This window comes from Homo sapiens, chromosome 1 (assembly GCF_000001405.40).
Source record: "Homo sapiens chromosome 1, GRCh38.p14 Primary Assembly".
Lineage (NCBI taxonomy): Eukaryota > Metazoa > Chordata > Mammalia > Primates > Hominidae > Homo > Homo sapiens.
The window spans coordinates 168,176,782-168,202,356 of NC_000001.11; the positions used below are offsets into that span (position 1 = coordinate 168,176,782).

Here is a 25,575-nt window from a genome sequence, read left to right on the forward strand (position 1 = left end):
CTTGAACTGGGGAGGTGGAGGTTGCAGTGAGCTGAGATCACGTCACTACACTCCAGCCTGGGTGACAGAGCGAGACTCCGTCTCAAAAAAAAAAATAAATACAAATAAACAAGACCTGCGAGCCAGGCGCGGTGGCTCACGCCTGTAATCCCAGCACTTTGGGAGGCCGAGGCAGGTGGATCATGAGGTCAGGAGTTCAAGACCAGCCTGACCAACATGATGAAACCCCGTCTCTACTAAAAATACAAACATTAGCCGGGCATGGTGTTGCATGCCTGAAATCCCAGCTACTTGGGAGGCTGAGGCAGGAGAATCGCTTGAACCTAGGAGGTGGAAGTTGCAGTGAACCGAGATGGGGCCTCTGCACTCCAGCCTGGGCGACAGAGCAAGACTCTGTCTCAAAACAAAACAAAACAAAACAAAACAAAAAAACTATGGCCATGCAAGGCAAGGATTAAGTCATGCCCTACAAACCATAAAATGTCGTTAAATGGTTTTTTATGTGCAATGGTATAATGTGCCTTACTTTCCAACCTGACTGGTGTAGAATCACATGACAGATAGCAGACTCCCTTTTCTTAAGCATTCCTTTCTACTGACTTCAAGTCTTTAGACAAAGCTTAACACTGTTTTTTGTTTGTTTGTTTGTTTGTTTTTGAGACAAGGTCTTACTCTGTCACCCAGGCTGGAGTGCAGTGGCACGATCTCGGCTCACTGCAACCTCTGCCTCTCAGGTTCAAGTGATTCTCCCACCTCAGCCTCCCTAGTAGCTGGGGTTACAGGCATCCACCACCGTGCTTGGCTAAGTTTTGTATTTTTAGTAGACACAGGTTTTCACAATATTGGCCAGGCTGGTCTTGAACTCCCGACCTCAGGTGGTCCACCCACCTTGGCCTCCCAAAGTGCTGGGATTACAGTCTTGAGCCACTGCACCTGGCCTGTGTTTTTATTTGTTTTTGAGACAGGGTCTCGCTCACCCAGGCATGAGTGCTGTGGCATGATCATGGCTCAATGCAGCCTCTGAGGCTCAAGAGATCCTCCCACCACAGCCTCTCAAGTGGCCTGGGACTACAGGCAGATACCATCATACACAGCTAATTAACACGGTTTGTAGAGATGAGGGCTTACTCTGGTGCCCACGCTGGTCTCAAATTCCTGGACTCAAGCAATCCTCTCACCTAGGCCTCCCAAGATGCTGGGATTATAGGCAGGAGCCACCTCGCCTGACTAAAGCTTAAATCTTTCAACAGATTGCCGATCAGAAAATCTTTGAATCCACCTATGATCTGTAAGCCTCTCCTTCAAGACATCCCACTTCCTTAGCCTGAACCAATGTATATCTTCCATATATTGACTTATTTTACCTGCAATTCCCAACTCCCTAAAATGTATAAAACAAAGAGTAATGCCACCGCTTCAGATGCTCTTTGTTAGGACCTCTTGGGACTATTCCCTGGGCCATGGTCACTCATATTGGTTCAGAATAAATCTCTTTAAAACCTTTTACAGAATTTGTTTTTTTTCCATTAACAAAATCATCTCATTTTGAGGCAACTGAAGCCTAAAATCGTTAGAGAAGCGCTTTGCCCAAGGATTCACACAATAGTGTTGCAAATGGAGATTTAGCACTAAGTCAGCTGTGTTGTTTTCACTATACTGGGTGCCTACATAGCAACTAGACCATGGAAAGTCTTCGCATATCTACGAGGATGCAATTTTTGATAGGAGTTGGTCATAGTCAAGAGTGGCTAGATGGCCACTTCTAAATCTTGTTGGTGCTGGATTTCCTAAACTCTGTGGGATTACTTCTTTTTTTGACCTCAAAACAGAAAAATTTCCTCTGTAACACGATTCACTAACACATGAGGTAATCACACTGCTTTGAGGTCTGTAAGGATCAAGTTGGAACCGTCATCCCCTTCCCTGGCAGTCCCTAAAATCCTTCGAGATGACGTCACCCAACGAGTTCAAGAGGGCGGTGCGTTCCTAACCACACCTTCTGCAACCCAAGTGCCGCCCCTCTGACTTTCTCCTTTTTCCTTTTTTCCGGAACGCCGGAACGTAAGACGTGGGTCACGCAACAAGAGCAACTAGTCCCGGAAGCAAAAAGCAAAGAGGCGGAGAAGAAGACGGGAAGCAGAGCCCGCGTCCGGGTCGGCCGGCAGGGGGCGGGGCCGGGCATGGTAACGGCTCGGAAGCCTAGGAGGCTGGGCCGGAGGGAGGCGGAGGAACCGGTGTTCGCCGCCGCCGCTGCTTCAGCTTATTCCTTGTGGCCTCTGCGGGTCCTGCCTCAGCCATGATGATCCACGGCTTCCAGAGCAGCCACCGGGATTTCTGCTTCGGGCCCTGGAAGCTGACGGCGTCCAAGACCCACATCATGAAGTCGGCGGATGTGGAGAAGTGAGGCTTCGGGGCACGGGGTCTGGGCGCTGGCCGGTTGCTGGCCCAGGGCGGGAGGCAGGGCGAACTCTGTGCAGCCCCTCCCCTTTTCCCTGAGGCGGAGGTTCGGTCCCTCCGGACCGGACCTTTGATTGACAACTTCGATAAATAATCCAGTCACACTTCCGGGCCCTTTGGTTGGGGATCGCCAGGCGCTGCTTTCGTCAACTGTCAATCCGCCTGGGTTTGAGTAGAGTGTGACTGTTCTGGTGGACTTTCCCCTCACCAAACGTCTCCTCCTGCCTCAGCCTGCACCACCTTTCTTTCTGGGTGGCTGTTGCCTGTTTTCTTAGGGGTTAATGACGGGGATGATTTATAAGTTTGGTTTCTGTCACGTCAGGTGCTGTGCCCGGCGCTTGAGATAGGAAATGTAAAAGACAACGTGCGCCTCAATTCACAGTCTCGTGAGAGAGACAGACAATTATATTACAGCGTGAATAAATGTAATGAAGATGTATACACGGAGTGATGTGAGGTCTTTTAGGGGCTCGAACCATCTGGGAAATTGGGATGCCTGAACTGAATCTTTATAAAACCGTTGCGGGGGGCGGTGGATAGGTACATGCCATCAGGTCAGGCAGAGTGAGTTGTGATGCGTTTTTGATGCCTGGGCTGAATCTTGACAAAATTTAGGGGAATCAGGGGACGCATGTAAAGCTGGGGGCTCAGGGAGAGTGAAAGCTGTGATGTGTTTAAAGAGCTGTGTCCGTGTGATTGGAGCGTGAGGTACCATAGGGGGTGTTGTGAGAGATGAGAGGTAGGCCCCAGGGGAATCAAGATACTGAGGGAATTTTTATGCCTGGCTAAGGAGTTTTCAATTTTATCTGACAACCACTGGGTGTAATTTTATCCAAAGGAGCTGCATTATCAGATGTACGCTCTGAAAGATTTCTCTGGAGGCCATGTTGAGGCTGGATTGCAGGTCCGCAGGGATGGGAAGGAGACCAGTTAGTAAGAGAAAAGATAGGTTTTAGAAGATTAAGTCCCTGGGATGGCCAGCTGATGGGAGGAGAAATAAAAAAGGAAGAGTCTATGCTGATGACAAGATCTCTGGCTTGGATTTTTGCATGTATCGTATGCCTTTGAACAAGATGAGAAGCACAGGAGGAGGAGAAGCAGATGGGGGCAGGGTGTTGGTTAGAGGATGAGTTTAGTTTATTGAAATGTGAGGTGGGTATAGGTCATAAAGTGAAGATGTGTAGTAGGCATTTAGATATATTTATCTTGGAGCTCAAAAAAGATAACGTCTGTGGGTTTAAGTTTGGGAATTATCTGCTTATATTTGGTACCTGGAGCTTTGGGAATGAATTAAGGTATCTAGAAGTCATCCAGAGGAAAAGGTCATAAAATAGAACCCTAAGTGAGTACTTGCATTTTAAGATTTGAGCAGAGGGAGTGACCAGGGAAGAGAGGAAAGTAATGAAACGATGTTTGCTTCCTAATTCAAGAAAATAAGTGGTAATATTCTAGTAGACTCACTGAAAAAAATTAGGAAAATACAGAAAAGAAAGGAAAAAAATTTCCCTTCATCCCACCAGAAATTGAATTACTTTTTTGAGTTTTTCCTCTCTATATCTTTCTTTTCTTTTTTTTTTATAACTTTTTTTTTTTTTTTGTATTTTTAGTAGAGACGGAGTTTCTGCATTTTGCTCAGGCTGGTCTCGAACTCCTGACCTCAGGTGATCTGTCCGCCTTGGCCCCCCAAAGTGCCGGGATTACAGGCATGAGCCACTGCGCCCAGCCTTGTATAACTTTTATTTATTTTTTATTTTGTTTTTTTGAGACAGAGACTCACTCTGTCGCCCAGGCTGGAGTGCAGTGGCACAGTCTCAGCTCACTGCAGCCTCCGCCTTCCAGGTTCAAGTGATTCTCCTGCCTTAGACTCCCTGGTAGCTGAGACTACAGGCGCGTGCCACCACGCCTGGCTAATTTTTGTATTTTTATTTATTTATTTATTTTTAATTTTCTTTTCTTTTCTTTTTTTCTTATTCTTTCTTTCTATTTTTATTTTGAGATGGAGTTTCACTTGTTGCCCAGGCTGGAGTGCAATGGCGCCATCTCGGCTCACTGTAACCTCCACCTCCTGGGTTCAAGCGATTCTCCTGCCCAGCCTCCCAAGTAGCTGGGATTACAGGCATGCATCACCACGCCCAGCTAATTTTGTATTTTTAGTAGAGATGGGGTTTCACCATGTTGGTCAGGCTGGTCTTGAGCTCCTGACCTCAGATGATCCACCTGCCCTCGGCCTCCCAAAGTGCTGGGATTACAGGCATAAGCCACCGCACCCGGCCTCCTCTCCATATAACTTTCTGTGACAAATTGCCGATTGGTGCAAAAGTAATTGCGGTTTTTAATTGCAAAACCGCAATTACTTTTGCACCAACATAATACAATATATAATTATATTATATATAAAGCAGTCAGCTTCAAACTGGGGCCCCCATGTAATTTACTTACAGATTCTCTAAGCGATGGCTGTATACATGGAGAGTTTTAAGGGAATAAAATTCCATATCTACGATCTCCTTATGTATTATTTTAAAAACAAATTTGCCTGAGGCCGGGTGCGGTGACTCACTCCTGTAATCCCAGCACTTTGGGAGGCTGAGGCAGGCGGATCACCTGAGGTCAGGAGTTCAAGACCTGCCTGGACAACATGGTGTAACCCCGCCTCTACTAGAAATACAAAAAAAATTATCTGGGGGTGGTGGTGCAGGCCTGTAATCCCAGCTACTCTGAAGGCTGAGGCACGAGAATCACTTGAACTTGGGAGGTAGAGGTTGCAGTACGCTGAGATCGTGCCACTGTGCTCCAGCCTGGATGACAGAGTAAGACTCCGTCCCCCACCCTCCGCCAAAAAAAAAAAAATGCCTTTTTTTATATGACAAAAGGAAGACTTACCCTCACCAATCCCAAATTTTTCTGTGATGCATTATCATAGATTGTAAAAACCACTAAGGTGCTAAATAAATTGGTTGGGTAAAATATTGGATTAAAGAAGCTCTTCTAATGAATATTTAAGGCACCTTAAAACCACAGGAGCTTCCTGTCTTCTCTCCTTGTAACTAGTTATACCTGTTTTTAAGTGGGAAGCTTGATGATGTTAGAAATAGGGCATTTTCAGGCCGGGCGCGGTGACTCACGCCTGTAATCCCAGCATTTTGGGAGACCGAGGCAGGTGGATCACCTGAGGTCAGGAGTTCGAGACCAGCCTGGCCAACATGGTGAAACCCTGTTTCTACTAAAAATACAAAAATTAGCCGGGCATGGTGGCACGTGCCTGTAATCCCAGCTCCTAGGAAGGCTGAAACAGGAGGATTGCTTGAATCTGGGAGGCGGAAGTTGCAGTGAGCCAAGATCGTGCCATTGCACTCCAACCTGGGCAACAGAGCGAGACTCCGTCTCAAAAAAAAAAGAGGGCATTTTGGCCTATGTTTAAGAAACTCTATATTTAGAACACTGAAGGACTGTAAATTAGTAACAGTGATTCTTTTACATATATGAGTGGAATATTTTATAGGACTGCCACATTTTTCCAGATATATTGGTTAGAATCCACAGACTCACATATTATTTCACATTTGGTATGCATTATTCAAGTTAAAACTTATTTTATGGAATCTTATGGAATATATATTCCAATTACAGTTTATTGTATCTAATCTTTTAAGTATTTAATATTTTCTATCTCCTAATAACAAAGAATAAATTTTACTTAAAATTATGATGAAAGTTAACATTGTTAGTCCTGAAGACCATTGTTAACATTGTGCAGTCCTGAAGACCTGCACCTCAAAGTTAGATCACTGATATGTGCACACAGAAATACACGTTTAGATGTAATAAATATACAATGTGTGTCCAGTTTTTTTCTTACTATTTTATCATAAGCATTTTTTCATATTATTATAGTCTCTCTTTAAACATTTGTAATGGTTCCATAATATTTCATCATATGGATATACTTTGGTTTGCATAATCATTTGTTGCTTTATAATGAAACATTCAGAGTATTTCTTTTTCATGATTATAAGTAAAGCCATTATAAGTATTAATGTGTATAATATTTTTCTGTACTTGGAATTATTCTTTAGTACAGGTATTCTAAAACTGATACTTTGGGTCATAAGTGTGTAAATTATGTTAAATTCCTGTGATTTTTTTTTTTTTTTGCTTGATTGTTGCCCCAGGGTGAAATGTAAATTGACACAATCCTTCTGAAAGTCTGTGTAGGCAAGTGCTGAGTTCCCTCATCAGTGTCAGGTGCTTTTGCTTTTTTCATCACCACGTTTTGAAACTTTTAACAATTGAGAATTTTAATGGAAAAATTATTTTCCTACAAGAGACAGTATCTTTAATTGCTTTGCTATCTTTTCTTCATACCCTCATGATATATATTATAGTAATATCTGTGTGCTATATATTATAGTAGTATAATAAGCTATTATATTACGTATTTGTATATTTATCTTATTTAGCCCACTACTTAGTACAGTGCCATATGATGATGAAAGAATGGATGATGAAAGCATTTTATAGACCTTGCAAATATATCATATTGATTAAATCATGTGCTGTGTAACTCATTCAGCAAGTAGGAAGAATTCTGTTGGGATGGAAAAGAAACAAAAATGCCAACAGCGATATAAAATTATCTCACCCGACTTTTGGTTACGTATAGATTAGCCGATGAATTACATATGCCATCTCTCCCTGAAATGATGTTTGGAGACAACGTTTTAAGAATCCAGCATGGGTCTGGCTTTGGAATTGAGTTCAATGCTACAGATGCGTTAAGATGTGTAAACAACTACCAAGGAATGCTTAAAGTGGCCTGTGCTGAAGAGTGGCAAGAAAGCAGGTGAGAATCCGGTCAATTAGGTTAAACAAAAAAGGTAATTAGGTTAAACAAAAGAGAAAAGACTTGAAAAAATATTCAGTAATGATACGTGTGTGTTGTTAGAATGAAGGGCTGGTATTATTAAACTTGAGAGTTGTATCATTCTAGAATTCGTTTTTCTCAGACATAAAAATGGAAGTTAATTACCCCACTGCTTGAATACTTGTTAAAGTGAATTACAACTGAGCTGAGCTATGTACGTTTTCGATTTTTCAGTGTTCCTTACTGAAGAGGCAGTAGGCTATACTTAATGTTCCTGTTTTTAAGAAAAAATGTTTACTTATGATATGCTTAATAAATACCCTATTTGAGAAGCATTGAAATTAAGACAACATGTTTTTCTTTGATAGTCAAATCAGCAATTATTTACTTTGTGCCTAATATGTACTAAGTACCTTAGATGATACAAATAAGTATAAACCTTTAAACCATGTCCTCAGGCTGTATACAGACTAATTGAAAAGACTACATCAGTACATGACAAGTTAAATAATAAATGCAGAAAAACTGTAAGAAAAACCTTGTACTGGTGAATTATAACAAGTGTATATATTTAATAGGATATGTTATTATAGAATATAATTTGATGTGATATATAAATACAGATAATCTCTATTCTGCATCACTGAATCTGATCCTTCTCATTTTGGTATTTGAGGACGGAGGGTGAACACTCCAAAGAGGTTATTAAACCATATGATTGGACCTATACAACAGATTATAAGGGAACCTTACTTGGAGAATCTCTTAAGTTAAAGGTAAATCTTACTTTTTTCTTTCATGAGTCATTGATTGTCTTGGACAGTCTGAGCATTAGAACTTTCTAGTAACGGGTTATTTTTTGCAACTATTTTTATCGTCCTTGTTTTCTGTTGTGGCATTCCTCAGAACCTAATGTGAGGGGGTTTTGCTTGTTGACTTATCAGTAGAAAATAAAAGACGGCATTAGTGGAAAAATTTATTTTTAAAAGTGTAGTTGGTGGCAACGGCAGACGGCCTTGTTGTTATCATTATCACTATCAAGAAACATTAAAATGTGTTTCGGGCCTTGGTAATGTATTACATGATTTAGACAGAACCTGCTAGCTTGTAGCTCACAAGTTTATAGATGAACAAATATATGAGCAAAAAGAACTTCTGGTTAGACAAAGTAGGTTTATGCCCTGTCTGCCCTGAGTATGAACCTGAAATGACTTTAGGAAGTTACTTAATTTGAGTCTCAGTTTTATCAATAAATTGGGTAAACAGAAATATCTACCTCAAAGCAGAGTTTTGATGTGAAATAATTTATGGGAAGCTCTCAATAAATTCTAAAGCTCTATATTAGTATTAAGTCCTGTGTGTGTAAGCCCTGCTTGAGAAGAGATTGGGGCCAGGCGCAGTGGCTCACGCCTGTAATCCCAGCACTTTGAGAGGCCGAGGCAGGCAGATCACGAGGTCAGGAGCTCGAGACTAGCCTGACCAACATGGTGAAACCCCTTGTCTATTAAAAAAAAAAAATTAGCTGGGTGTGGTGGCGCACACCTGTAATACCAGCTACTCAGGAGGCTGAGGGAGGAGAATTGCTTGAACCCGGGAGGTGGAGGTTGCAGTGGGCCAAGATCGCGCCACTGCACTCCAGCCTGGGTGACAGAGTGAGACTCTGTCTCAAAAAAAAAAAAAAAGAAGAGATTCGGCCAGGTGCAGTGGCTCACGCCTGTAATCCCAGCACTTTGGGAGGCCAAAGTGGGTGGATCATGAAGTCAGGAGTTCAACACCAGCCTGGTCAACATGGTGAAACCCCATCTCTACTAAAAATACAAAATTTAGCCAGGCATGGTGGAGCATGCCTGTAGTCCCAGCTACTCGGGAGGCTGAGGCAGGAGAATTGCTTGAACCCGGGAGGCAGAGGTTGCAGTGAGCTGAGATCACACTACTGCACTCCAGCCTGGGCGACAGAGCGAGACTCCGTCTCAAAAAAAAAAAAAAAAAAAAAAAAAAAAAGAGAGAGATTCATGGTAAATAACGCTAGGAAGATGGAATTGGTAGGTCTTATATTGTGAAGTTAGCTGCATTTTGAAATCTTATAGTATGACTGAAAGGAAGCAAATCTGGGCTGGGCTCAATGGCTCACGCCTGTAATCCCAGCACTTTGCGAGGCCAAGGAGGGCAGATTACTTGAGGTCAGGAGTTCGAGACCAGCTTGGCCAACATAGTGAGACCGCACCTCTACTAAAAATGTAAAAATTAGCCAGGCCTGGTGGCGTGTGTCTGTAATCCCAGCTACTTGGGAGGTTGAGGCAGGAGAATCACTTGAACCCAGGAGGTAGAGGTTGCAGTGATCCGAGATCACGCCACTGCACTCTAGCCTGGGCAACAGAGAAAGGCTCTGTTTCAGAAAAACAATAAGTAAAATAAAATAAAGCAAATTTGGTTTAGGTTGAATGTCTCTAAATATCACAGACTATTATATAGAATGAATTTATTTCAGCGTAACCTGAAATATTTATATTAAAAGTAGCTATTGGAAACCCTATGTCATCCGGGCACAGTGGTTCACACCTGTAATCCCAGCACTTTGGGAGGCCGAGGCAGGCAGATCACCTGAGGTTAGGAGCTGGAGACTGGGGAGGCTGAGGCAGGAGAATTGCTTGAACCCAGGAGGCAGAGTTGCAGTGAGCCAAGATCACGCCACAGTGCTCCAACCTGGGCTTCAGAGTGAGACTCCATCTCAAAACAAGGAAACCTGATATCATATGTTGGTGCTTAGGCAGAAATGTTAAGAAGATAGTGTTGTGTCTGGGCCCCTTTTCTCTGCAGAAATTTTTAGAGTCTCATGAAGATAAAAGTTCATAGCAGGAACTTAATGATTGTTATCTTCAGTTTCTGCTATTATTACAGTCCAAGCTTTAACTATTTTTCTGTGCTTCCAGGAAAAAACTCATTCATTCATTCAACAGATATTTCTTGAGCTCTTGCTCTATGCCAGGCACTAATGCTAGGAGCCTTGGATACAGCAGAGCAGACAAAAATTCCTCCTTTACAGTCTAATGGGAGAGCAAGGTTATTTTAGTCCCTTATACTACTTCATAGATTAGTGTTCTCCTCCCTCCTCTCTTCTGATTGAAAAACTTTGTAGAGACCATTTAATATTTCATTGCCAGGAGTGAGGAAATGGGAACTTGTTTTAAACCCATACAATAATGATGATGACTTACTTTGTGGACTGACTTAGGAAAAGCCTCCTGGAGGTTATGAAGCAGCATTAGGTGTGACCAAGTGAGAACCACAGCTGTACAAACAAGGAGTGTGAGAGTAGTAGAAGGCAAAAAGCATTTGTTCAGTACTCTCCTATTGATACTTCAGCCTATAATGTGATTTGTTCTGAGGTGTTGCTGATAAATGTCAATGTGATTACCCACTCACTGGTGGTAATGAGCTCAGGCTTTGGCAAAACACAGATCTGGGTTCAAAATCCCAGCACCATCATTTGCCAGCTTGGAAAAGTAATTTAGTCTTACTTAGCCTTGTTTCAGTCACTTTGTTAAACTAGGGTAATACTAGTTGTGAAGTAGGAAATAAAATTATGTATGTAGGCTGGGTGTAGTGGCTCATGCCTGTAGTCCCAGCACTTTGGGAGGCTGAGATGGATCACTTGAGCTCAGGAGTTCAAGACCAGTCTGGGCAACATGGTGAAACCCCATCTCTACAAAAAATAGAAAAATTGGCGGGTCTGGTGGCACGTGTCTATAGTCCCAGCTACTCAGGAGGCTGAGGTGGGAGAATCAGTTGAGCCCAGGAAGGCGAGGCTGCAGTGAGCTGTGATTGTGCCACTGTACTCCAGCCTGGGTGACAGAGCGACACCCTATCTCAAAACAGTGTGTGTTTTGCAGTAAGATCTCAATAAATGGCAGCTGTTACTATGATAATATAGTATATCAAGTATTAGGGAACCTAAGTTAATATTGTAATACCTAGAATAAAAGTAGATATATTATCTATGGTATATTATTATATTAAATAGCAGCCCAAATGGACTAAGGCCTAATAATTTCAATCACCTCTGGAATCCCTAGTGTCTTTTATTTCAGTTGGTTCTGGGTTATGACATCTAGGCTTCTAATTTGCCTCTTTATTTTCATTTCAGTTCTAGGATGATGGTGTTTTCCTTCAGAGAGGATTTTTGTTTAGTTCTGACAGGCGCTCGAGAATATTCATAGTCAAGGACAGAGCTCTGCAAACTTCTTCTGTAAAGAGTCAGACGTAAATATTTTAGGCTTTGTGGGCCTTAGAGTCTCTGTTGCAGCAACTCAGCTGTGCTATCATAGTCTAAATCACTCATAGACAATATATAAATGAATGGGCATGGCTATGCTTTAATAAAACTTTATGGACAGTGAAATTTGAATTTCATGTAATTTTTATGTGTCATGAAATATTTTTCTTTTGATTTTTTTTCTCCAATTATTTAGCCATTATTAGCTTGCAGCCCATAAAAATAGGTAACAGGGCAGATGTGAGCTGCATGTCTTAGTTTGCCTGCCTTGGTCTAGGACCAGAGTTTGAGGTGTACTGGGCCTGCAGATAAGAAGCTCTGAGGCTGGGCACAGTGGCTCATACCTGAATCCCAATACTTTAGGAGGCCGAGGCAGGCGGAACACCTGAGGTCAGGAGTTCGAGACCAGCCTGGCCAACATGGCAAAACCCTGTATCTACTAAAAACACAAAAAAATTAGCCAAGCGTTGTGGCATGTGTGTGTAATCCTCGCTACTTGGGAGGCTGAGGCACAAGAATTGGTTGAACCCAGGAGCTGGAGGTTGCAGTGAACTGAAATGGTGCCACTGCATTCCAGCCTGGGCAACAGAGCGAGACTCTGTCTCAAGAAAAAAAAAAAAAAGTTCTGAAATCACTATAGCTCTTTAGGGTGTCATCTCTGATTTGGGAGGAAGCAGGAAATTCTCCAGGGTCCTTGTCCTTAGTGAGCACTGAGCAGTGATGGCACCAAAAGCTAGCAGAGCCCAGCTTCTTCTCTGGATCAGCCAGTGCTATGCCTCAGGGCAAAAGCCAGCCAAGTACAGACTTACTTTTCTCGGCTCCAGTCTTTCCAGATCTCAGCCCAGTAACTCCATACTGCCTTGGCCATTTGATGCTTTTAGGAAGTTTTTGGGTTTTTTTAGCCAGCTTTTTAAATTGTCTTCATCAAGAAGGTTTGTCTAGATTACTTATTCTGCCAATACTGTTCCATATGTTTTTTATTTTTTTGAGATAGAGTTTCATTCTTGTCGCCCAGGCTGGAGTGCAATGGTGTGATCTCAGCTCACTGCAACCTCTGCCCCGCGGGTTCAAGCGATTCTCCTGCCTCAGCCTCCTGAGTAGCTGGGATTACAGGTGCCTGCCACCACGATCAGCTAGTTTTTGTATTTTTAGTAGAGATGGGGTTTCACCATATTGGCTAGGCTGGTCTCAAACTCCTGACCTCAAGTGATCCGGCCGCCTTGCCTCCCAAAGTGCTGGGATTATAGGCATAAGCCACCGCGCCCAGCCCATATGTTTTATATTTAGCTGGTTATTTTTTTTTTGTTGTATTTTTTAGATCCCTGGGTTCAGAGAGAGATATGTGGAGTTGAGGAAGAGAGCTGAAAAGTATAAAGTTTTAGACATATTTAGCCTTGCAAATGGAGACAATAGCATAAATAAGTTAAATATGATATCTCTAACTCATGCTTTGTTTTTTGACTTTGTCTTTCATTTTATAAGAACAAGTACGTAAATGGAAAAACTGACAGATTCATTTTGACCAATCACTTACTGAAGGCATATGTGAAACATTAATGAAGCAATTTACTAATGAGAAAATTCAGATAATGATTAATTTTGGGGGATTCAGGAGTATCTATAAGGAGGATGTTAAAAATGTGTTCCTCTGAACTAAAATCAAATAAAAAGGACGAAATTTACAAGTGTGTGTATTTAACACTAATTTCAGTTGTGTAACCTTAGGCAGTCCTCGTTGGCAGACCAACTTTTGTTTAACTAGATCATAAACTTAATGTGTGATGCAGGGGACTGGTTATATGCCCTGCCCCTACACTCCAACTCCCTTCCCCTCCCAGTTTTCACCTCAAGAGTGGCCTTATACCTGCTCCGTACACAGTTGGAAGTAAAACTGCTTAGGGCTAAGTGTTATCTCTAAGTGACCATGGAAGAATTATGGACATTTTTTTACCTCCTGGAAATCATATACAAACTGCCACTTTCTTTTCATGGCATCTTTTCCCCCTACATTACTTAACGTTCCCTTAGATTTCCTCCCAAAATCTGTGCAGTCTTGTAAACAACATCCTTTGTAATTTTCTTCTGATTCTTATCTAGTTATCTCAAATTACTCTCCATCTGCTAATTTTGTCCATGAGTCAAAACAAATCACCTAATCATGACGCTTAAGTAAAGCTACATTTACTAAATATCTATGGTTTGACAAGCATTGTTGTGTTTGTTTATGGTAAACCTGTCAAGGAGTAAAACAGCTGAGCATTTTGTAGTGAAATTAGGTGTGGTAGAAAATAGTATCACAATTCATACTTGGGTGCTGCTCAGGAGACACTTGAGTTTAATGAGCTCCTGATATGATCTGCCTTGGGACTGTTGATGCTTTTGTTGGATTACGTGTGTGCATGTCTTAGAGCTACAAAATAATACCTTGAAAAATTGCCAACTTCATTCAAAGCTCTTTGCAATGCTAAGAGTTTCCCTCAGAATTTCTCTACAAGTTCTTGTTTACCTCATTATTTAAAGCACTTTATTTTGTTGTAGGTTTTGGGGAGTTAGGTTGAGCAAATATCTAACATTCTAATGGAAAAATATTTTTTAAGTTCCATATGAATGTCCTAAAAGTGGCTTTCACAGCACAAATGTTCTATGACCTTCTATGATAGCAGTCGTTCATCACACTGACTGATGTTTAGTTGATTAATTTTCTCATAGTCACAACAGAAGTTGATTTTAATATGACTTGCATGAAAAATGATAAATTTTTACTGCTTTTTTTGTGAAGCTATAATATTGGGCATCTGTAATGTCTTCAGTTTTCAGAATCAAGCCATATTCTGATCTTTTATATCTACTAATGACACCCAAATTTAGAACTGTGTGCTCTGGCTATGTAGAAAAGACTGATTGAAAAAGAAAAGAAAAGACTGCTTTCCTGTGTCTCTGTAGCTCCTCAACTTTTTTTTTAATGTGCTCCTCTTTAAAATTTTTTCTTTCAGGTTGTACCTACAACAGATCATATAGATACAGAAAAATTGAAAGCCAGAGAACAGATTAAGTTTTTTGAAGAAGTTCTCCTTTTTGAGGATGAACTTCATGATCATGGAGTTTCAAGCCTGAGTGTGAAGATTGTGAGTATTATTTTTATTTAAAATTAATATTTTTCTTGCATTCTTAACATCAGACAAAAATATGACTCACTTTGAATAACACTGAGCCTGGCCGGGCGCGGTGGCTCACGCCTGTAATCCCAGCACTTTGAGAGGCTGAGGCGGGCTGGATCGCCAGGTCAGGAGACCGAGACCATCCTGGCTAACACAGTGAAACCCCGTCTCTACTAAAAACACAAAAAGTTAGCTGGGCATGGTGGCGGGCGCCTGTAGTCCCAGCTACTCGGGAGGCTGAGGCAGGAGAGTAGCGTGAACCCAAGAGGCGGAGCTTGCAGTGAGCCAGGATCACGCCACTGCACTCCAGCCTGGGCGACAGAGCAAAAAAAAAAAAAAAAAAAAAAGAATAACACTGAGCTTTAACATGATGTCATGTACAATTTCACTTGAATCTAGAGTGTATCTTATTGAATATCCATTATAAAATTCACAAAATATTTGTGTATTCTTAAGGCTTTATTTTAGCAAAGCATTTTTAATAGACCTGCCTGGCCACCTTGTAGTTTATTTGTTTATTATTTAACTCTAATGAAGACTGTGGCTTAATTTTCACATTTTGGATTAAAAATGATGTTGATAGGATCTGCAGACGGCAAGGTGGATGTCATTTTTTAAAATGATCCATGTGTTATGATTTCAGTGCATCATTCAACTACCACTTCAATTTTCAGCCTGGTGGCGGGCACCTGTAGTCCCAGCTACTCGGGAGGCTGAGGCAGGAGAAGCGTGAACCCGGGAGGCGGAGCTTGCAGTGAGCTGAGATCGCACCACTGCACTCCAGCCCTCCAGCCTGGGCGACAGAGCAAGACTCCGTCTCAAAAAAAAAAAATAAAATAAAATAAAAGAAGTAGAAAACACACATAACAAGTATGGTTATTCATATTTCTTTACCACTGCATTATAATTGGGTCTCTAATACTTTCCAGAAATAACTCAACTGAAACTTTTTACTAAATGCCTCATTCTTTAAGACCCAAAGACCCAGCTAAAATACCACCTTTTCTACAAGGCCCTTCACAACTCCGTTACACAGAGTTAAATATCTCTTTTCTATACTCCTTTTTAAAAACCTCTCAATTAGGCCGGGCGCGGTGGCCCATGCCTGTAATCCCAGCACTTTGGGAGGCCGAGGCGGGCGGATCACGAGGTCAGGAGATCGAGACCATGGTGAAACCCCGTCTCTACTAAAAATACAAAAAATTAGCTGGGCGCAGTGGCGGGCGCCTGTAGTCCCAGCTACCCGGGAGGCTGAGGCAGGAGAATGGCGTGAACCCGGAAGGCAGAGCTTGCAGTGAGCCGAGATCGTGCCACTGCACTCCAGCCTGGGCAACAAGCGAGACTCCGTCTCAAAACAAACAAACAAACAAACAAAACAAACAAAAAACCTCTCAATTATAGCATTTGTCATGAGATCTGTCAAAGACAGAGACCCTAACATCAAACATTGTTCTTGGGGCATAATGATTGTGGATGCTGTGATTTAAAGAATGAAAATAATACAAAAGCAGCAACAGATTTGTTTTAAAGTCAAATTTTAGCTACTTGGGAGGCAGAAGCAGGAGGATTGCTTGAGCCCAGGAGGTCAAGGCTACAGTGAGCTATGATGGTGCCACTGCACCCCAGCTTGGGAGACAAAATAATTTTATTTTTAGATAAATAAAAAATTTTATTTTTCTTATCTAAAAATAAAATTAGTTTTTTCGGTGGAATCAAAGGATTTTGAAATTGTAGTGAATTTTTAGAGAATCATTTTTTGTAGCCTCCATATTTTATAGATAAGGCCTAAAAAGATAGCTTAAGGTCATGAAACTAATTGCAAAGTTTTCTTTGTATCATCTAATATATATCATTATTCTAGCATTAGATAGTTGTTTTCATAGGCTTTACTTCTTTGCTCACTTATAACTCTAAATTCACTTTTTTTTGTTTAGATTTATTCTCTCTTCAGTTCACCTAGTCTTGTATCTTTCCACTTGTCTACCACCTGTTGAATTGACTATGCTAAATGTTCATTATGAGTTTGCATACCTGGGTGTGCATTTGTATCCAAGGGGGTATATATATCATGTCTATAAGTGGGTCGGTATTTGGAAAGCACATGTGGTTTTGTGGATGGAGTTGCTTGAAAGGATATGTGTATAAATATGTGTGTACAAGAATACATAGTAAGTCTTAAACTGAAGAGCATTTTTTTAACCAACTACTTTAAGCTGAAGTATTAGTTCATAGATATTACTATCCTGTAGTGAAATTTGTAGATGATTTAATCCACCTACTTTGCAGCAATCAACATATTTTAACTATAAAATTAAAGGAAATTGGTTTAGAATAAAATATATTTTAATACTTAAATGCATAATATGACTGCACCAAAGACATAATGAAGCAGTCAGGTACTTATATTTGCATATTGAGTCACCGTAAATGTGACAGCAAAAAATGTAGGCTGACAGAGATGTAAGGTATCAATCAGTGACTCTTAACACAATTTTCCAAAATGATGAACAACTCTTAGTGAAGTTCTAAATAAGAAAAAGTATAATCTTTCCTTGATTTGGAAAATAGTTGACTTCCTGGATAATTGAGTGATTTTTTTTTTATTATCTATGTAAAATGGAAATAGTTTCTAAAGTCAGATCATTATAAGTAGGCTTTTTCACCTCTGTGAATGCCTGGTAAGATACTGCAAGTTTTGTGGAATGCAGGACTGGACTTTGTTGTATAGGATTGTCCTGTGCATCCCAGATCTGTCGTTCTGGTCCTTATTCACTAACTGTTGATATTGGTTGCTTATTGATGTGACAAGAAAAAGTACTCTCACAAATTCCCAAACGTCCCCTAGGAAAGAACTACTGCCCTAAAATATGCTATTGTATTGGCACTAGAGTTCTGGTCTCCTAATTCCTACTCTCTCCACTGTGCCATGCTAAAATGATATTTCAGTTTACTGCCTGTGTTGTGTCCAGTGTGACTGTTGGTAACTAATTTTGAAATTTGAAGAAATGTTGCAAGTCAGTTTTTCCATAAATTACACATATCACTGTGTAGTAATGTCAAATAATAATGATGTGCTTCTCAATTTGTTGTGACATCAAGTTGTCATAAGTCAGGTTATTTCTACAGCTTTCCTTTACTAAAAGTCTTTTTTTTAAGTCTGTTGCTGATAACCCCATCAGAATACACTTTGGCTCAGAGCCTTTTCTCCAGCAAAGGTATTAATACCTTCTAGCTTCAGTTTTATCCGGAAAATGGTTAATGAGCACCTGCTGTGTGCTAGGTACTTTTCTAAGCAATAGAGATGTGGTGATGAACAAAGCAGATATTTCCACCACCATGGAGCCTACAGTCAAGTGGAAACATAAATGAAGATAGTTACAAATCCGTTAATTCGTAATGGAGTGCTATGAGAGAGAATACCAAGATAAATCTATTGTGGTATGGAATGGTAAGAAAGGCCCCTCTGTGGAAGTGACATGTGTACTGAAATCTGAAGGACAAGTGAACATTAGCCGGGAGAATACTCCAGGTAAGGGAAGAGGGTGTGTAATGGTCCCAAGGCAGAAAAGAATTTGGCCTGTGGCTGGTGACTCTCCAGGCAGTTAAGTCACTGTCATTACTGGGTTATCCTGTTATTTCTTCTTTCATCATTAATGTAGCCCTGTGCTTATATGTAAGATTATAGGCAGTTCCCTGAATATATGTTATTATTTCATGTCTCAGTACTTTTTGTACATGCAGGTCCCCTTTCTGAAATTCTCCTTCCCATCTCTAGCTGTTCTTTCTGTGGTCAGCTCAAGCCTTGTCTTATCTGATGTTCTTCAGCAGACTTAGGTACTTCTTTCTCAAATGCTTATTGAGCCTTGTGCATACCCATTATAGCAGCTACCACATCTGTTTGACCTTTCCCTGGCTGATAACCTTTTTGAGCATTGGGATTCTATTTTTTCATTTATATAAATCCAAGACTTACTATAGTAAGAACTTGGTGTTAGTAGACAATAGGTATTTATTCAGCAAATGGCCAAGCATATTCATTTTAATTAATTAATTAATTTTGGGACAGGGTCTTGCTCTGTTGCCCAGGCTGGAGTGCAGTGTTACAATCATGGCTCACTGCAGCCTATCTCCCAGGCCCAAGCCATCCTCCCAGCTTAGCCTTCCACGTAGCTAGGACTACAGGCTTGTGCCACCGTGCTTTGCTAATTTTTTGTATTTTTTGTAGAGATGGGGTCTGACTCTGTTGCCCAGGCTGGTCTTGAACTCCTGGGCTCAAGTGATCTTTCCACCTCAACCTTCCAAACTGCTGTGATTATAGGTGTGAGCCACCATGCCAGCTAAACATATTCATTTTAAAGACCCAAATACCTCACATTCCATTCAACCGCTCTCTCCCCGCCACCAGGACCCACCTTCATACTTTCTCCACTGATTCTGCCTATCATTAGTAGTTATACTTGGAAAGCAGAGGAATTTGTAGATGTGCCACAGATGAAAGATGTTAAGAATGTGTTATAGTGTTCTGATAAACCAGGTCTTTAGCAATATGTAATAGTGCCTACAGGTTGCACTGAATTAGAGCATTCTGTGTAAGGTCTGTTGCTTTGTTTTATGTAAAGTGAATAGGTGAGTAGTGACAAAGAACTAGGTTGTTCTTTCATTTTGGTTTTATTGGTGTTGACATTTACTATCAGTACCTGCCATTTTTTGAAATAAACATTATAATTTTTACATTACTTGGGTATGTTTTTAAGTCTTTTAAACCTCAATATCTCCTCACCTAGAAAAAATATTTTAGGAAACCGAAACTATGATGTTAAATAGTTTGCACAAGGTTTTGAGGCTAGTTGGAGCTAGGACAAAGAGCTTCTAGTTGAGAGATTTTTATAAACTGTGAATTCAGCCTTATTCCAGGGTTTTTTTGTTTTTTGTTTTCAAATTTTTTCTTTCAGCAAAGTAATAAAATGTTTAATTTTTATTAAAATATTAATGTACCTTTTTTTTTTTTTCCAGAGAGTAATGCCTTCTAGCTTTTTCCTGCTGTTGCGGTTTTTCTTGAGAATTGATGGGGTGCTTATCAGAATGAATGACACGAGACTTTACCATGAGGTATTTATTGTTGTTTAATGAATATACTAATTGATACTGGGCTTGTTTGTGTTGTTTAATTGTCAATCTGAGAATTTGAAATTAAACAATCTATATTATATGGCAGTCTTTCTAACTGTTAAGTCTGAGTGTTTCACATTCACTGTTGACTGCAGGCTATCATCAAAACATTACATTTCCTTTTACAAAGGTTCTGGTGACTCAAAATGTTTTCTAAAAGACACTCCCTAATTGGGGAGGGGTCTTTTGAGACAATTTTGTATGTACTTAATCCATGTTTAAGAAAACTGTCCTTTAACTCTTACCTTTGTTTACAGTATATGTTGTTTATGTAATGTCCTGATGTACATTAATATACAGGAAGTACATTAATATATTAATCAGGCCAAGGCCGGGCGCCGTAGCTCACGCCTGTAATCCCGGCACTTTGGGAGGCCGAGGTGGGTAGATCACCTGAGATCAGGAGTTCGAGACCAGCCTGGCCAACATGGTGAAACCCTGTCTCTACTAAAAATACAAAAAATTAGCCAGGCATGGTGGCACGGACTTGTAGTCCTAGCTGCTACTTGGGAGGCTGAGGTGGGAGGATTGCTTGAGCTGGTGAAGGTTGAGGCTGCAGTGACAGAGCAAGACCCTGTCTCAAAGAAAAAAAAAAAAAAGAAACATACCTAAGTTATACAGTTAGTAGGTGGCAGAATTGGAATTTGAACCTAGTAGGATAGGATTGGATTGATGCTTTCTAAACCCTTCACTTAGGGATTTTTTCTTGAAATAACATGGTTATAGTGATAGACCTTTTTTCTTTTAAAAGTGGTGGCAAAGTACTAAACATAAGCTATATTTTTGTTCCCCAGAAAGAGAAATCTAAATTTTATTTTTATTTATTTATTTGAGATGGATGGAGTCTTGCTCTGTTGCCCAGGCTGGAATGCAGTGGCGCGATCTTGGCTCACTGCAACCTCTGCTTCCTGAGTTCAAGCAATTCTCATGTCTCAGCCTCCCTAGTAGCTGGGATTACAGGCGCCCACCACCACACCTGGCAATTTTGTTGTTGTTGTTTTTAATGGAGTGATGGGGTTTCACCATGTTGGCCAGGCCGGTCTTGAACTCCTGACCTCAAGTGATCCAATTGCCTCGGCCTCCCAAAGTGCTGGGATTATAGGCGTGAGCCACACCGCTCCTGGCCTAAATGTTAAAAATACTGTTTTAATTAAACAATATTGAATTTTAGGAATTTATCCTAAAAAGATTCTTTTATATAATAATCTACTAATATTAATTGGGCAATTACTCAGAGTTATACGTACATGAATATTCACAGTAGTATTGTTTATAATAGCAGAAAGGAAGGAAAGTAGGAACTTAATGCCCATTAAATGGCCATTAATTAAATTGTTTATATCCATATGGTATAAAATATATAATTATTAAAATTGGTTGCAGAGATTGATATTTAAGTAATTTTGAAAGATATTCATTTCAGTGTTGAACTTTCAAAAGCAAGTATGAATCTACTTACATAAGATTCTCTGTAGAGATTTCTAAGTATTAAAGATAGTGTTACCTATAAGCTGTGATCACTGATGATTTATACTTTTATATTATTTGATTTTTTTCCTACAGTGACTATTAATCTGTTTTTATTAATACAAGAGAGTGAAACCTTAAAGGCATATAATTTTGTGGCTTTTCTTTTATTGAAAAGTGTTTCAAGAAGTAAATTATAATAAGTTGCTGTTCTAAAACCTAACCAAAAATCTTAAATGGGAAAAATTGAAGTACAAAAAAGGTGATTTTAAGTAAGCTATTTGGTAAGAGCTTTATGGAATGGGAAAGAATAAAAATTTTAAAGCATGTTTTGCAACATAAAAGTAGCACAATTACGTAGGTAAATGATAAGATAGCTTAAGGGAAAGATGTTTCAAACTTGAAGTAATTTTAAAATCTCTTGCATATTTCATTTATACAAATTCATTATATACATTATTCATTTATATACATATTCTTTCAAAGTAAAATCTTTGCTATGTTTCTCTTACATGGTAATTATAAAATCTGTTTACATATGTGTATCATCATTATAATGTATAGAAATTGGAAATAATAATCCAATTTGAGTTAAATAGGAGTTATCTCAGTGTAGAACAAGATGTTCTCTTTAGACTGCATGCTGTTTTGACAACCTATCCTAAAATGTAGGCAGTCTGTTTTTAATACAAAGGATTTTGTAAATCAGTATAATTAAATTTATTGCAACTGTTTATTTTTAAATACAGGCTGACAAGACCTACATGTTACGAGAATATACGTCACGAGAAAGCAAAATTTCTAGTTTGATGGCAAGTACTTAAATTTCAGTTTTTAGAAGTTAATTTTAATGTTTCATTTTAATTTAAGTAGCATATACCCCTGACCCCAACCACCCAAGTTTACATCCCTAAACCCATTCATTCACCTAATGGGGCTCTATAGGATAAATTCTATGGGAGCATAACTTTTCTGACCTTACCTCAAATACAAGAACATTTAGAGCTGCTAGGTACTTAAGCCTCATCTAATCTAATTTTCACATTTTGTTCTAGAGAAATTGAAACCCAGAGGTGTGACTTACTCTGAGTCACATAGCTGGCTGGTGATGGATGTTCTTTACACTTACCACCCTGCCGCCTTATTTCTTTCTACATAGTCTCCTTTTCTCTTCCGAAAATGTGGTGATTCTGTACCATAATTTGTTTGTTTTGGCATCATTTTTCTTTATTTTTTACTCCCCGGGACCTGTGAAGCCTTCCTTAGAACTTAGGATTCTATAATGGGTTGCTTAAAAATTGGTACCTTCCTATAAACTTGATTTTATTTTTTCACGCTTAGTATGTACTTCTGTCTGGGTATAGAGTATACTTGGAACAGAAAAGTTACTACTTAGATTCTATTGTAGACTACATGCTGTGCTCTAACCGAAGACTAGTGTTTTCAAGTTACAAAAGCAGGAGATACATAGGGTTGGATTAAGATGTATTAAATTCTTAGGACATTTGTGGGAACATTATAGATTATATAACCCTGTGATCTTTGATGAAATCATTCAGTAACAAAGTTGAATGATTCCGTATCAAGAAATACCTATTATTTTTAGGAGCACATATGCATATATTGCACCTGATTTTAAAATTTCCATGCTTTATGAATGCTTGAACCAAAACATTTGTAAAAAATTTCAGTACAGTAACTGAATATGCTAATATGATTTATGTATTTCCTAGCATGTTCCACCTTCCCTCTTCACGGAACCTAATGAAATATCCCAGTATTTACCAATAAAGGAAGCAGTTTGTGAGAAGCTAATATTTCCAGAAAGAATTGATCCTAACCCAGCAGACTCACAAAAAAGTACACAAGTGGAATAAAATGTGATACAACATATACTCACTATGGAATCTGACTGGACACCTTGGCTATTTGTAAGGGGTTATTTTTATTATGAGAATTAATTGCCTTGTTTATGTACAGATTTTCTGTAGCCTTAAAGGAAAAAAAAATAAAGATCGTTACAGGCAGGTTTCACTCAACTGCTGTTTGTACTGTCTGTCTTCACATTCATATTCCAGATTTATATTTTCTGGAGTTAAATTTGGATGATTTCTAAATTATCACAAAGTGGGACCTCAGCAGTAGTGATGTGTGTGTCTCATGAGCAGTGAGCACAGTCTGCATTCATCATGAAACACTATCTTCTACCAGGAGGAGGTTAATGTAAATCACCAAATCCCAATGCCTTGTGACTTTCATAGGATTCCTGATCATGCATGTTGATGTACTGGCTCTTCACTTTGGGCTTTCTGATGTTTATTCACACCTTTGGAGAGTTGCAACTTGCCACATACGAAATTAGTCTCATAGTGTAGTGAACTTCAACCCCAAAATTTTAAAAATGTATTTCCCCCCAGTTTTAAATTGCCTTTGAAATTTAAAAAAAAAAAATTTAGACTTAGTACCAGAACCAAAAATACCTAGATTTTTGGAGAACTTATTACATACATAGAAACATGAATATGGTTTACCACTGTGTGTGTGTAGGATGTTAGAATTATCTGTCCTCCATCTTTAGGTGCTTTTTCTTAAATGTGGTTCTACTTATACTGATATTTTTAATTTCCATCTTCCATGCAACCTCAGAGTGAATAAACCCCTTAAATTTGGTGCTGGTTCGAAAAAGTCTAAAGGGTTTATTAGGGGTTGTTTTTCGCAAATATTACATCAATCCTTAAAGCAACAAGATTAATTTTCTGCTTAAAATATTTGGGAAGATAGGTAAGGAGGAGGGGGTTTTAAAATATAAAAGCAAGTTTTTCTATTTTAAGGTGCATATTTGTAACATTACAGGGGATGAAGTAAAATGTAATTAATTAGCACAAGACTTAGGGAGTACAGAAAATACACAGAAGTAAATTTCAAATCCATTTGATTGTTTTCATAGTGACCCCTTAGTCATTTTATATTCTTGTCTGCCTTTCTAGAAAAATGGTTGTCATAAAGTGGAAAGTGATTAAAAAGCATCAAATAAGAAATTATTTCAAGTGGATTTTTAAAAATATTTTTTTGAAGGGCAGGGGGAAAATTCACCCCTTTTCTGATTTGAAATATGTTGTACATATTTCCATTTGATGGATAAATCATTAAGTAAGAATATTTGATTTAAAGTATTAGCCAACCTCTTCAGGTATTAGCCTGAAGATAAATTTTAACAAAACATATACACTTGGGTATCCGTCATTGCTCAAACTCTATAGTGTATTGCTGGAGCCAATAGGCAGGGTATATTTTATTAGCTAAATTTGATATTTGTCTTCTGCCTTCTGTATCACCTCCAAGCTATAGGAAATCAGGATTTTGTTGGCTTTAAGAAAACACATGGTATGTTCACTGTATATTAAATATACCTGTATTTAATGTTTTCTCTTAGGACAGAAAAGTAGACACACACACACACACACACACACATGTTGTGTTCAGCTTTCTGTTTTATATTATTTGCCATTGAGATTAGAATAGAACAGGCTCTATTCATGCAAACTATATGAAATGAAAAACTTTTAAGACTCTTCATTAATTGGAGCTTCTGGGCAACATCGTGTGTGTGTGTGTGTGTGTGTGTGTGTGTGTGTGTATACAGACATTTTTTTTTTAACTTGTTGATTCAGATGTCTTGGTCCCTGAATAGTCCTAGATTACTTATTTTGAGAATTCATTGTTAAAAATTACAGGGAATTAAAATAATTGCCTTTTTTTTTTTTAGAGGGTAAGAGATGGGTAGAAGAGTATGCCTCTGAAAATTTTATTAGTTTATTCTTGTGGAGAATACCAAGAAAATGTGTATTTGCCCATTGCTAAATATGATATATGCCATTTTGTATTTATTTGTCCCAAGTGTCTTTTTGTAAGAGGAGAATAAACAATAAGGAATTACTGATCAAAGTTTTACTATTTCATTTATTTGAGTTTTTCTTAGAGCTTAATTAAAGAAGTGTGGTTTGGGGTATACTTTTCTTATTTGTGCTTTATGTTTTGAACTCAGTCAACACTGTAGACAGTCTCCAGGCAGGTTATAAATTAAAACCTAACTGATGGTTCAGAATACAATTTCCCAGTTTGCATTTGGGCTCTTGCCTCTCCTCTCCCTCTGTTCATCAATATTTCCATGGATGTTTTTTAACAGT

At 39.2% G+C, this 25,575-nt stretch overlaps 1 protein-coding gene across 2 annotated transcripts, besides 4 other annotated features; it reads left to right on the forward strand.

Moving 5' to 3' along the window:
* Positions 1,804-2,305: an enhancer, noted in NCBI's record as "H3K27ac hESC enhancer chr1:168147823-168148324 (GRCh37/hg19 assembly coordinates)". NCBI's record gives its function as "activates a minimal SCP1, AML or CMV promoter by ChIP-STARR-seq in naive H9 embryonic stem cells {active_cell/tissue: H9 hESC(naive)}" and the evidence as "EXISTENCE:reporter gene assay evidence [ECO:0000049][PMID:30033119]".
* On the forward strand, positions 2,181-25,328 carry TIPRL (TOR signaling pathway regulator). Of its 2 annotated transcripts, NM_152902.5 has the most exons (7): positions 2,181-2,400; positions 7,121-7,300; positions 7,998-8,097; positions 14,588-14,719; positions 19,766-19,861; positions 22,138-22,200; positions 23,122-25,328. In NM_152902.5, the coding sequence occupies exons 1-7, from the start codon at positions 2,297-2,299 to the stop codon at positions 23,263-23,265; spliced, it is 819 nt and encodes a 272-aa protein (NP_690866.1). In that variant the 5' UTR covers positions 2,181-2,296; the 3' UTR covers positions 23,266-25,328. The 2 variants fall into 2 exon arrangements, with proteins under 2 accessions (NP_690866.1, NP_001026970.1); NM_001031800.3 differs by lacking the exons at positions 19,766-19,861; positions 22,138-22,200; positions 23,122-25,328 and adding an exon at positions 15,427-15,614.
* Positions 2,293-2,412: an enhancer, noted in NCBI's record as "active region_2057". NCBI's record gives its function as "activates an Ori minimal core promoter by ATAC-STARR-seq in GM12878 lymphoblastoid cells {active_cell/tissue: GM12878}" and the evidence as "EXISTENCE:reporter gene assay evidence [ECO:0000049][PMID:35858748]".
* Positions 17,879-18,663: an enhancer, noted in NCBI's record as "H3K4me1 hESC enhancer chr1:168163898-168164682 (GRCh37/hg19 assembly coordinates)". NCBI's record gives its function as "activates a minimal SCP1, AML or CMV promoter by ChIP-STARR-seq in naive H9 embryonic stem cells {active_cell/tissue: H9 hESC(naive)}" and the evidence as "EXISTENCE:reporter gene assay evidence [ECO:0000049][PMID:30033119]".
* Positions 20,398-20,898: an enhancer, noted in NCBI's record as "H3K27ac hESC enhancer chr1:168166417-168166917 (GRCh37/hg19 assembly coordinates)". NCBI's record gives its function as "activates a minimal SCP1, AML or CMV promoter by ChIP-STARR-seq in naive H9 embryonic stem cells {active_cell/tissue: H9 hESC(naive)}" and the evidence as "EXISTENCE:reporter gene assay evidence [ECO:0000049][PMID:30033119]".
* Positions 25,329-25,575: the final 247 nt, after the last annotated feature.